This window comes from Homo sapiens, chromosome 2 (assembly GCF_000001405.40).
Source record: "Homo sapiens chromosome 2, GRCh38.p14 Primary Assembly".
Lineage (NCBI taxonomy): Eukaryota > Metazoa > Chordata > Mammalia > Primates > Hominidae > Homo > Homo sapiens.
In genome coordinates, this window is record NC_000002.12 from 233,215,706 (window position 1) to 233,229,144 (window position 13,439).

Consider the following 13,439-nt stretch of genomic DNA (forward strand, 5'->3'; position numbering starts at 1 on the left):
TTCAACTGAAGAAAGATTTTGGGGTAAGGGGTGATATTGTAGGGTTGTTAGAAGGAGCATTTGGCATATAGAATTATTGGTTGGACTGGATGCGGTTTTGTATGAATTGAGAAACTAAACGAAAGACACAAAGTCCGAATAAAAGAAGGAGAAAGATAGGTTGAAAGGACTAAGAATTGGGAGGACTCAGGATGTCCAATTAGAGAGTGTCCAAGGGGGTTCAACGTTATTGTTTGCTTGGTTGGCAAGTTTTTGGGCTCTATCCTTGAGTTTTTTTATGTTGTCATATACCAGGCCAGATTGATTTAGGTAAAAACAACACTCTTCATTTAAAAATATACAGTCCTCTTTTTTAGCAGTAAGTAAATCAAGGCCTCAGTGATTTTGGAGGAAAGAGAAATGCAAAGCCAGCAACTGTTTGTTAAAGAAGGATTAGAAACGGCTAGGAGAGAGTGACTGAGATTGACAGTGTGGTGGAGATAGCTGGGGAAAGGTGGAGGGTGGCATAAGAACGGGAACGAGAATAAGAGTAAGTATAAAAGCAAAGAATAGGACTTCATCAGGGTGAAAGTATTGAAGTGCACTTTGTCACTGAAGATCTTCTATCCACTTAAAGAGAGACCTAAGGGTGGCAGTTTGAGGTAAAACCAGGTGCCACTGAATACCAAGAGCCTGAGAAACTGCTCAGGTGATTTGACTAGTAAAGGCCGGTCCATTATCTGACTGTATAGAGGTGGGAAGGCCAAACCGAGGAATTATGTCTGACAGAAGGGAAGAAATAACCACGGTGGCCTTCTCAGACCCTGTGGGAAAGGCCTCTACCCACCCAGTGAAAGTGTCTACCCAGACCAAGAGGTATTTTAGTTTCCTGACTCGAGGCATGTGAGTAAAGTCAATTTGCTAATCCTGAGCGGGGGCAAATCCCCGAGCTTGAGGTGTAGGGAAGAGAGGGGGCCTGAGAAATTCTTGAGGAGTAGTAGAATAGCAGGTGGAACATTGAGAAGTTATTTTCTTGAGGATAGATTTCCACGATGGAAAGGAAATGAGAGGTTCTAAGAGGCGGGCTAGCGGCTTGTAACCTACATGGAAGAGGTTATGAAATGACGATAGAATAGAATGGGCCTGTAAGCCTGGAAGGAGATATTTTCCTTGGTCCAAGAACCATTTGCCTTGTGTGGGAAGAGATTGATAGGTGGAAGTTTCAGTGGGGGAGTAGGTGGGAGTGGCCAGATGAGAAGGAGAAAAACTGCTGTGAGGGATAGAAGTTGAAAGCTAGCTGCTTTTTTAGCTACCTTATCAGCATAAGCATTGTCCTGAGCGATGGGATCTGATGCCTTTTGATGGCCCTTGCAGTGTATGACTCCAGCTTCCTTTGGAAGTAAAGCGGCCTTGAGAAGAGTTTTTATTAAAGAGGCATTAATGATGGAGGACCCTTGTGTGGTGAGGAAACTTTTCAGCCCATAAAACATCATGGTGGTGCAGGATATGGGGTCAGTATAAATATTGACGTGTAGTCCCTTTGCAAGAGTGAGGGCTCGAATTAAGGCAATGAGTTCGGCTTCCTGAGAGGTAGTGGAGGGAGGCAGAGCGGTAGCCTCAATGATAGATGTGGAAGATTCTATAGCATAGCCTGCCTTTGCTAGTGAGTGGCGATTAGGCCTGATGGACTAAACCAAATGTGATCAATAAACCAAATGTGATCAGAGTGAGGAACAGGAAAGAAGGAAATATGGGGAAATGGAATGAATGCCAGGTGGATCAGAGAGATACAGTCATAGGGGTCAGGTGTGGTATCCGGAATAACGTGGAAGGCCAGATTGAAGTCCGGGCCAGGAACAATGGTAATTGTGGGAGACTCAACAAAGAGTGAATATAGCTGAAGGAGCTGGGGAGCAGAAAGTATGTGTCAGGTGTGAGGAAGAAAATAGATTTTGGAAGTTATGAGAACTGTAGAGAGTGAGTTGAGCATAGTTTGTGATTTTGAGGGCACCAAATGTCTCACATGTCCGTGTGAAGAGACCATCAAATAGGCTTTGTGTGAGCAACAAGGCTGTTTATTTCACCTGGGTGCAGGCGGGCTGAGTCCAAAAAAGGAGTCAGCAAACTGATGGGATTACCACGGCACTCCAGCCTGGGCGACAGAGGGAGACTCCATCTCAAAAAAAAAAAAAAAAAAAGATGGGCTAGTGGGGGATGCACCGGACTTTATAGTCAGGCTTGAGGAGGCAGTTCCTGATTTACACAGGGCTCACAGATTGGTTCCATCAGGTATGACGTTTACATAGCAAGGGGAACGCTGGTTGCCCCACCCTAATCTTATTATGCAATGAACTTTCCCTTTGGCTGGCGGCCATCTTGTCTGCTCCTTACTGTACACGTGGCTGACAGAGATAAGGGAAGATGGAGCTGCCATCTTGAACATGATTGGCACAACAGCTGGTGTCTATGTCTGCAGCTTGATTTTACAGGCTGCTTTTTGTTAGAAAGGAAAATAATTTGGGGTTGCTCTTCATTAAAAGGACAACCTTACCGGGGACTTCCGTATCCCCACTATCTGCCTAAGTGTCAGGGCTCAGAGCCCAAGCTAAGCCATCATACCCCCAGTGACCTGTGCCATCTAGGCTCACTGCAAACTCCACCTCCCGGGTTCATGCCATTCTCCTGCCTCAGCCTCCTATCTTTTTCCTCTTGGAAGTCCCATCTCTCTCACTAGAGAGAGAGCTGTTTTTCTTTCTCTTTCTGTCTCTCTTTTATCTATTAAACCTCCGCTCCTAAACTCCTTGTGTGTGTCCATGTCCTAAATTTTCCTGGCAAGACAGTGAACCCCAGGTATTTACCCCAGACAATATAGCTGCTTCAGAACGTTCTATGGGCAGGGAGCCACTGTGGCCACCTGGGCTTACCCTGCAGGCACTGTTGGGAACACATGCCTGTGTCACCCCATGCAAAGAGGAGCAAGCAGGATCCAGGCATGGTAGCTCACGCCCGTAATCCCAGCAATTTGGGAGGGTGAGGTAGGAGGATCCTGTGAGGCCAAGAGTTCAAGACCAGCTTGGGCAACATAGTGAAACCCCGTCTCTACAAAAAAACAAAGAAAAAAACTAGCTGGGTGTGGTGGCGTGTACCTGTAATCCCAGCCACTTGGGAAGCTGAGGAAGGAGGATCTCTTGAGCCCAGGAGTTCAAGCTTGTAGTGAGACATTATTGTGCCACTGTACTCCAGCCTGGGTGACAAAGGGAGACCTGTCTCTAAAAAACCCAAAGAGGAGCAAGTTGGGTGCTACCAGGCCAACTCTGAGTCACAGTGAAGGGCTGCCTCTGGGAGGGGCGTTAACACCTTAGCTCTTCTGGCCTATGCAGCAAAGCCAACTCCCAAGGCCAGAGAGCCTTCAGGCAGGTGAGAGCAGACTGCTGCGCATGACATGGGTCACAACACCCGACAGAGTTCTACTGCCCGGCCATCCTGCAGGCCCCTGGCCTCTCTGATGCCTACTCTGTGCCTTTGGGTTGACATTCCTGGGTGCTCGGCGAGTCATTGCTGAAGAGGGACACCTCACTTGGGGGAGTTCTGTAATGTGGGATGGTCCAGTGTCAAAGAATGAGGAGAAAACATTCCAGACAGAAGGAGATGTGTAGGCCTGGAGAAACAGCTTGGTGTGTTCAAGAAACGGGAAAGAACTGGTGTGCTGGAGTGTGGTGGAATGCAGTCAAGGCCAAAGCTTGTACTGTTCTCCACACAACAGCCAGTAAGTCAAGAGACAAGGTATGGGGGCAAGGAAGAAGACTCTATTTTAGAAAGCCAGCAAAACAGAGAAGATAATGGACTAATGCCCTAAAGAACCATCTTGGGCCAGGCATAGTGGCTCATGCCTGTAATCCCAGCAATTTGGGAGGCTGAGGTGGGCAGATTACTGGAGGTTGGGAGTTCAAGACAAGCCTGGCCAACATGGTGAAACTCTGTCTCTACTAAAAATACAAAAATTAGCCGGGCGTGGTGGCACACGCCTGTAACCCCAGCTACTCGGGAGGCTGAGGCACGAGAATTGCTTGAACCTAGGAGGTGGAAGTTGCAGTGAGCCAAGATCATGCCACTGCCCTCCAGCTTGGGCAACAGAGGTAGACTCTGTCTCAAAGAAAAAAAAAAAAAAAGAAAGTAACATCTATAGCGAATATGAATTTCAGAATCCTTTTATATTAGGGAAAAAGGGGAGAGGGAGGGGTTGAGATCAAAAGGTGATCTATGACTACAGACAACTGAGTGGCAGCAAGGGTAAACTTCTTTGTCCCTGGTCAGGTCACAGTGCTCTTATACATTTTTAACATAATATTGTTACTTGTGTACACACCCTCCTTATCTCTTTGGGGGCTAGTTTTGGGAAGTGGCTCTTATCATCCTTGCTTTAAGGTTAAACTCTAAATTTCTCCCATAGTTAGCTTGGCCTATATGCAGAGATACCATAGCAGTAGGGGTGAGGGGTTAGCAGCAAAATAGAGTTACATGTACACTGTTACATGAATGAGAGTGAGTAGGGTGAAGTTAGAGCAGTAGGGGGCCAGGGGTGGTGGGGTGGGGGCACGGGGCAGACACATTCACAGGCTCCTCAGTAGGACAGACACTCTGTCTTGAGCCCAAATGGAGAGTCACACAATCCATGAAGTGGTAGGTGAGCCCGAGAGGAGTCCATGAGCCAGAGTTGATCTGCTTGATGATGTCTCTTGTGCATGGTGGCTGCACCTGACAGCAATAACTGAAGCATACCGTGAGAACAACCCTGCATGGCAGACACACCTGAATGTGTGTTTGGAGTTTCCAGCATGGCCAATCTGAAGATTCATTCCTTAACTCTGAGGAACATCTGAGCCCCCAGCACATCCTGTGGAATGTGGTCCATAGAGAGCATGAAGGCCCTTTGTTTTGGGTTAAAGGAAGGTTGCCAGGTAGAAGTTGCTAAGTGAAGGTGTTCTATAAACTGCATGCTTTTTGCAAGTGGTGGCAGTTCTCCTGTCTGCCTGCTGCCACTCTGTCTTGAGCCCAAATGGACCATCCCTGTATGTAAGTTCCCAGTAAATCCTATGTCCCATTTGCTGGCACTGCATCTCTTCTTCAGACTCTTGAACCTGGTACCATCCCTATTGAAGGTAATAGGGATGCGGCACCGCACTTCGATAGCTGAAGGAAGAGGGAGGGTATTTGTGAGAGGCTATGTTGGGTAACAAAAGAAAAGGAGAGGCCACCGAGGCCCATGGCAAGGCATGGCCTCTCCACTCTGTCCCCAGGTGCTTGGCACAGAACAAGAGCCTGGCAAACACTCCCCCAGGGCCCCATGGGAAGAGGGGCTGCTGCAGCTTCTGGGATGAACTTTGCCAGACACAAGCAGGAGCACAAGCAATAATACTTCAGGGCCCAACTGTCAAAGATTTAGCAAATAGAAATTTAAGATGCCTTGCTTCTTGATGAGATGAATAGTAAAACAAATTTTAAAAATAAAAAATAAAATATCAGATGCCTCGTTAAGTTTGAATTTCAAAGCAACAATAATTTTTAGTGTAAGTATAGTCCCAAATATTATATCTAAAATATACTAAGAAAATTCAAGGTTTGTATCTGAAATTCAAATTTGACGGGACTTCCTGTATTTTATCTGGCAACCCTAGCCCTGCTCTATCTATCTAAGGATGTAGAAAAAGGCTCCATTCCCTGTTGGAGGGCTGCTGCATTAGTCAGGGTTCTCTAGAGGAAAAGACCTAATAGGACAGATGTATATATGAAGGGGAGTTTATTAGGGAGAGCTGACTCACAAGATCACAAGGTGAAGTCCCACGATAAGCCGTCTGCAAGTGGAGAAACAAGGAAGCCAGTCCAAGTCCCAAAACTTGAAAAGTAGGGAAGCCAACAGTGCAGCCTTCAGTCTGTGGCTGAAGGCCCAAGAGCCCCTGGCAAACCACTGGTGTATGTCCAAGAGTCCAAAGGCTAAAGAATGTGGAGTCTGATGTTGGAGGGCAGGAAGCATCCAGCATGGGAGAAAGATGAAGACTGGAAGACTCAGCAAGTCCCCTTCTCCCATCTCCTCTGCCTGCTTTATTCTAGCTGTACTGGCAGTTGATTAAATTGGTGCCCACCCACAGTGAGTGTGGGTCTACCTCTTCAGTCCACTGACTCAAATGCTAATCTCCTTTGGCAGCACCCTCACAGACACATCCAGGAACAATACTTTGCATCCTTCAATCTAATCAAGTTGACACAGCTGAAATGAGCCACTACCACTCAGGATCTATAAGATACAAGCCTGAGGCAAGCAAGGAGCAATGACAGTAAACAGCACAGACTGCAGACAGGGCTGCAAGTACTGACTTCACATCAACGAGAACCCAGTGGAAGCTGAGAGAGTGCCCATTTTTAGCACAAAATTTTTAAACCTAGATGAAAACTTAGAGAAGTAAATAATTCCTGCCAAAGTCTCACCTATAAGTTATCTGAAGTTAGTTATCTATTAACTTTGTGACTGGACAAATTATTTAACATCTTAGAGAAGACAGAATTTGCGATTTGTGTTGATCCAGATTAATTGCCCTTAATAAGTCAATAATGTTCAGAAGAATGCAATAGAATTCTGAAAATCCATAATCTTTCTTAATGTCCAAACACCATTCAAAATTGTTTCATAACAAGAATCCACAAAACGTGACCCATCTCAAGAGAAAAAACAAACAGCCATGATCAACCCCATTCCAGATGCTGGAATTAGCAAAGATGTTGAAGCAGCTACTATAACTATACTCAGGGGCATAAAAGAAAATACTCTTTTTTTTTTTTTGAGACGGAGTCTCGCTCTGTCACCCAGGCTGGAGTGCAGTGGCGCAATCTTGGCTCACTGCAAGCTCCGCCTCTCGGGTTCACGCCATTCTCCTGTCTCAGCTTTCCCAATAGCTGGGACTACAGGCGCCCACCATCACGCCCGGCTAATTTTTTGTATTTTTAGTAGAGACGGAGTTTCACCGTGGTCTCGATCTCCTGACCTCATGATCCGCCTGCCTCGACCTCCCAAAGTGCTGGGATTACAGGCGTGAGCCACCGCACCCTGCCAAGAAAATAGTCTTGAAACAAGCAAAATGATATAAATCTCAAGAGAGAAATAGACATTTTAAAAAGTCAACCCAGAATTCTAGTACCAGTGATGATCTCCTTAAGAATGAAGTGAAAACATCTTCAGATTAAAGAAAACTGACAGAATTTGTTGCTATCAGATCTACTATAAACAATCCTAAAGGAATTTCTTCAGGCTGATAGGATATGATAATAGGGGAAAACTCAGATCTTCAGGAAGGAATGGAAAGGATTGAAAATGGTAAATACATGGGTAAATATAAAAGACTTTTTATCTTAATTTTCTTAATTTCTTTAAAATATAACTGTGTGAAGAAATGATTATAACATTTTCTTATAGAGTTTAGAATGATACCAATGTAATACTTACGACAATTGAAGCGGGGAGACTGGTAAATGGAGCTATACGATTGCAAGATTTACACGTATTTTTTGTTGTTTTTTTGTTTTTTTGTTTTTGAGATGGAGTCTTGCTCTGTCGCCCAGGCTCCTGGAGTGCAGTGGCACGATCTTGGCTCACTGCAACCTCCACCTCCCTGGTTCAAGTGATTCTCCTGCCTCAGCCTCCCCAGTAGCTGGGACTACAGCCATGCATCACCATGCCCAGCTAATTTTTGTATTTCTAGTAGAGATGGGGTTTCACCATGTTGGCCAGGCTGATCTCGAACTCCTGACCTCAAGTGATCCTCCCGCCTCAGCCTCCCAAAATGCTAGGATTATAAGTGTGAGCCACCGTGCCCAGCCAAGATTTATACATTTTACATAAAATGGTACAATATTAACTCTAAATAGACTGATATATATATTTAAATCTCTAGAGCAACCACTCAAAGGGGATTTTGGGGGGAGCTATGCGTCTTTCAGTAGCTTCTAGTTTCACATCCGTATTTCTAGTCTGACCGTTTTCTGTCCCATGCTAGACCCTGCCCTGATTCCTTTACTCCCTAAAATACCACCAACGAAAGGCTATGTGTAAGGCAGACTTCACTGAAAGTGGGGGGCAATGGATGATTCATCACAGACCACACAGTCAACAACGTACAAACAACAATTAGAAATCTTTTTCTTTTCCTTTTTTTTTTAAGAGACAGAGTCAGCTGTGTGCCGTGGCTCACACCTGTAATCCCAGCACTTTGGGAGGCCAAAGCAGGCATATCAATTGAGCCCAGGAGTTCAAGAGAAGCCTGGGCAACATGGCAAAACCCTGTCTCTACAAAAACCACACAAAAAAAATTAGCTGAGCATGGTGGCACGTGCTTGTTGTTCCAGCTACTCAGGAGGCTGAGCTGGGAGGATCACCTGAGCCCAGGGAGGTCGAGGTTGCAGTGAGCTATGATCACACCACTGCCCCCAGTCTGGATGGCAGTGAGACCCTGTCTCAAAGCAAATAATAATAATAATAATAAAGACAGGGTCTCACTGTCACTCAGGCTGGAGGGTAGTTGTGCGATCATAGCTCACTGCAGCCTCAAACTCCTGGGGTCAAATGATTCTTCTCCCTCAGCCTCCCAAGTAGCAAGGACTACAGGCATGCTACCATACCCAGCTAAAGAAATCTTTGTTTTTAGAATTCTTCAGTCACCGGGCCATCAGAAATTTCTCTCTGATCTACTTTATTTGAGCTCCCCCGCTACCTTGCCCCTTGCATTTGCCCCTCTCTCTTAAGAACTTTCCACAATCTTCTTACCTGTCCTCTTGAGCAACATGACTTTCTGTCTATTCAAAGCCCATCCTGGCCATGCTTTGGTGCTGGGGAGGTGCCACTGCTTTACAACAGCCATGGCCCTTAAGATGCTCTGCTGTAAAAAGACAGTTTTCTCTCTGAAAAATTCCACTACCAGCTTTCAAACCCATTTTTCTTTCCTCCTACATAGATATACCACCAAGCTATCTCTGTCTCCCTTCTCTATTAAACAGAGCAAATGAGCTCAGATCCAAACTTGTCCACTCATCCAAGCCAAACAAGAGCCTTGGAGGCATCCAAACCCACCCTCAATGGCTACTGTCATACAAGTGTGCCTCCTGGAGTCCCACACCCCACCTCAAGTGGCTTATGTGTTCACCCAAAATATATATTTATTAAGCATCTCCTACACAGTGCTTGTCATAATATTATATATATAACTCTCCCTAAGAAGGATTTTTTTTTTTTTTTGAGACAGAGTCTCACTCTGTTGCTCAGGCTGGAGGGCAGTGGCGTGATCACAGCTCACTACAGTCTCATCTTCTGGGCTCAAGTGATCCTCCCACTTTAGCCTCCCAAGTAGCTGGGACTACAGACTCACGCCAACACACTTGGCTGAGTTTTTTGTAGTTTTCGTAGAGACAGGGTCTTGCTATGTTGCCCAGGTTTGTCTTGAACTCCTGACCTCAAGCAATCTGCCCGTCTTGGCCTCTCAAAGTACTGGGATTACAGGAATGAGCCACTGCGCTTGGCTGTTTTTATTTTTATTTTTAAACGTTAGACTAAGATGGATTTTTCTGAAAGCCACTAAGAGGACAAAAAATACCATTTCCAAATCATCTCCTTGTCACTGATTAACACCGGGCCCCTTTAAGGCTAGTTTAAGAAACCCAAGCTGATTGTAAAAGCTTTGTGCCAGTCACCTATTGCTGCATAACAAACAGCTCCAAAACTTAAAACAATGACAACACTTACTTTGCTCACAAATCTGTAACTTGGGCAGGGCTTGTTGGGGACAGCTTGTATCAGCTGCACTCAGCATCACTGGGTGTGCTTGAAAGTTGGGGGCTGGAACCATCTGAAGCTTCATTCACTCCCAAGTCTGGTGGTTAATGATGGCGTCATTGGGGACCTCAGTTGAGCTGGGCTGTGCCTGGAGCACCAATGACATTGATGTATGGTTTTCCTGGATGACTCTCTGGCTTCTTCACAACACCCTTGGCTGGGTTCTAAGAGCCAGGGGGGAGAGAGAGAGAGAGAGAAAAATGAGAGAGAGAGAGAGACAGAGAGATAGAAAGAGAAATGAGAGAGAGAGAGAGAGAGAGAAATGAGAGAGAGAGAGAGAGAGAGACAGAGAGAGATAGAGAGACAGAGAAATGAGAGAGAGAGAGAATGAGAAAATGAGAGAGTGCACCAGCTGGAAGCCATATCACCTCTTATGACCTAGCCTCTGAAGTTGTGCTGAATCATTTCTGCTGCTTTCTACTTGAAGCAAGCCCACATTCAAGGGTGAGGGAATTAGACTCCACCTTTTGATGGGTGAAATGTCGAAGACCTTGCAGGTATGTTTTAAAATCCCACAGCCTTAAAGAGAAATGTTGATCATAACGGAAGGTTTTCCTGATGGGCAGTAATGAGAGGAAAATCATACTGTACAATCTAGAGAAAGCTTCTCTAAAATCCTCATTACCCACTTTTCTCCCAAAGGACTTCAGGGCAGCCCAGGCACCCCACTCTCCTCTCTGCACCCCTTCTCCCTCACTTTCCTTTCTGGTCTAGTTCACACCCTCCCAGGTTTATAAAGTGACATTGAGACTCATACGTTTTTTCTTTTCTCCATGGTCCCTGTCCATTGATTCCCTCAAATGAACCAACAAGGCCTCTCCTCCTTAGGAAGGTGGGAGAAGGTAGGTTCCCATGCTAACGTTTTTCATGTGTGTGTGTGTCTGTATGCGTGTGTATACACATAAACACATCTATGTGTTTGAAAATAAACCCAATCATTTTAACTTAGTAATTATATTTGCAAATTAACCCCATAATTTGAATAGACTAGATATTTTTATATGCACATAACCTATGAATATAAAGAGATGTGCCTAAATGTACAGGAAACAGGGCACCCTTAAGAGAGACCTTAATGAAGAGTCCATTTACAGAGGTACAGGCAGAGTTAAGAGAAGTAGCAGGGATGTGGAGGCGGTCAGGGACTAGCAACAGCAGGAAGCCACCACCTTCCTTAGATCTGAAGGGGGGTGGGTATGGCATTACCTGAGGTGGTGGTAGCCGGACCCCAGGAGACTGACCCCTGCTAGAAGCTGCTGTCAGAAAAGAAACCAAGAACAACTGAGAGGTTAGAAAGTTGTAGATTAAAGTTACTTTGACCTCTCTTTTCTCCTGCCTTTTTGTCCCCTGCTGATTCTTCCCTTTGGTCAAACCCAACCAGAATCCAGAGGGCAGGTGGTGGTATTGCCCTCCAGGGCTCAGCCTCCAGCCCAGAGCACAGTGAGAAGAACAGACAATGGACAGGGAGGAAGAGGGGCAAATGGAGAGTACCCAGCACAACTTGTTTAAAAATGAATAAGATCATCTTTTGATGGCAACTCTTTCTTCTTTGTTTTCTTTTTTTTTGAGACAGAGTTTCACTCTCATTGGCCAGGCTGGAGTGCAATGGCGTGATCTCAGCTCACTGCAACATCCACCTCCCAGGTTCAAATGATTCTCCTGTCTCAGCCTCCTGAGTAGCTAGGATTATAGGTGCGTACCACCTCACCCAGCTAATTTTTGTATTTTTAGTAGAGACGAGGTTTCACCATGTTGCTCAGGCTGGTCTCAAACTCCTGACCTCAGGTGATCCACCCGCCTCAGCCTCCCAAAGTGCTGCGATTACAGGCGTGAACCCCTGCGCCCAGCCAGCTCTTTCAAACTGTTACATACACTGGGAGTAAAAGATGGTGGGGGGCCGCATGCCCAAACAATGAAGAAAAATAGTGACAGCAATTGGCATGACAGTCCAATTCTTAATTGCATGAGCTAATGAAGTGGAATTCCTGGCATGACTTACCCCAAAGTAATTTATATTTGGCTTGGAAAACAGAATGGTTTTTATAACAGATTTTTCTAATTATGTTTTACTTATGTTAATATGAGGGTTTGACTCCCCAAGTAAATACCACCTGCTCACAAAGCAGGATGGCTCAGAAGTGCACTGAGCACCAGGTGGAAGCCAGGCTGGGATTTCACAATTTGCTGCAGACGATGCAAAAGTATCTGGAAGTTTTTGCTTTTGATGTGTGGGGGCTGCTCTCTCCAACTCATTTGTAAAAGCATTAAGGGCAGCTACTGTATCTCATGCTTCCTCTCGATTCCTCAAAGATAATAATACTCAAACTTTGCTATGCATAAAAATCACCTGGGGAACTTGTTAAAATGCAAACTCCTGGGCCCTGCCAGGATGATTGATTCTGTTGGTCTGGGTGATGCCTAGGAATCTGAATTTCAGCAAGCACTCCAGGTCCTTCTCATGCTGGTGTTTGGGCCATCACATTTGGAGAAACACCACTGAAAACATTAGACACATGGATTCATACTCAAAGGAGGCAAAGTGCTGTAACAGATGAAGTGGGGGAATGATTAAGAGCCAGAGCTGGGTTCCAATCCCAATTTTGCCGTGAATTCATTGAGGCAGCTTACCTTCTCTGATAATCATTTGCAAGAAGGCTAATACATAGACATCGGAGTCATTAGGAAAACTGGAGGTAGCAAATGAAAAATAAAAATTGGGTGAAAACATAGTGGCTTTCACTATTTGTACCCAGAGGGTTCTCGGGTGAGCCTTTCTCAAGGTAACTGGGCTCTGAGAATCCTACCTTGGAAGACCCATGAGGATGGCACCTGTAAGATCAGCTGGTCTGGTACCATCTTAGCACTGTTTCCTTGCAGTCACTGAGTGCCATCCTGAGACACTGTATTTCATAGATTTCATGTTTTTCAGGCTCACTCTTTCCTTGTTTCTACTTGTGAAATTATTATTCATCCTGCAGCATATGGACAACAGGTTTTTTACCCATTCTCTCTTGCCGTTGGCAGGATACCATTCAACAATATGGTGTTAACAAAAAATATTAAAACTAGCTGTCTTAAATTTTTGGTTCTGGTTCATAATGTTGCATAATGAAAAGGAAAATCTTTCCCACAGTCCCAGTGGTGCGGAAACACTTAGAAATGACTGTAAATATAGACTCTCAAATGACAAGAGGTTGTTTTATGTCATTCTGCGATTTCTTTTTCACAGCATGTTCTATGTGCTGGAATAAAAATTTTTAATGAAGTCAGAATGCTAAATTTAATGGAACCTTTGCTCTTTGTTCATTGCAAAATACATCATGTTTCCATTGAATTTGCTGTGCATCTTGGCATCAGGTCCCACACAGCAAAACAAAACTCAGACCTCATAATTCAATAGTTTTGATTATGCCCAGATTCTAAAGACCACTGCATGTCTTTCCTAATTTGTTACTCACTTGATTTTCAGTGAATAAATGTAAAAAGAGTCTCCAATTGTTCCTCTTAAATCACCCTAATTGAACATAAGAGTGATAATGTATGACTGGAGGAATATTTTACATAATGTAAGTACTAATCCTAGGTG

General features: G+C 44.8%; 2 annotated features.

Moving 5' to 3' along the window:
* Positions 1,026–1,585: an enhancer, noted in NCBI's record as "NANOG hESC enhancer chr2:234125377-234125936 (GRCh37/hg19 assembly coordinates)". NCBI's record gives its function as "activates a minimal SCP1, AML or CMV promoter by ChIP-STARR-seq in naive H9 embryonic stem cells {active_cell/tissue: H9 hESC(naive)}" and the evidence as "EXISTENCE:reporter gene assay evidence [ECO:0000049][PMID:30033119]".
* Positions 7,593–7,744: a silencer, noted in NCBI's record as "fragment chr2:234131944-234132095 (GRCh37/hg19 assembly coordinates)". NCBI's record gives its function as "represses an EF-1alpha promoter that drives an FKBP-Casp9 reporter gene in an ReSE screen in HepG2 liver carcinoma cells {active_cell/tissue: HepG2}" and the evidence as "EXISTENCE:reporter gene assay evidence [ECO:0000049][PMID:32094911]".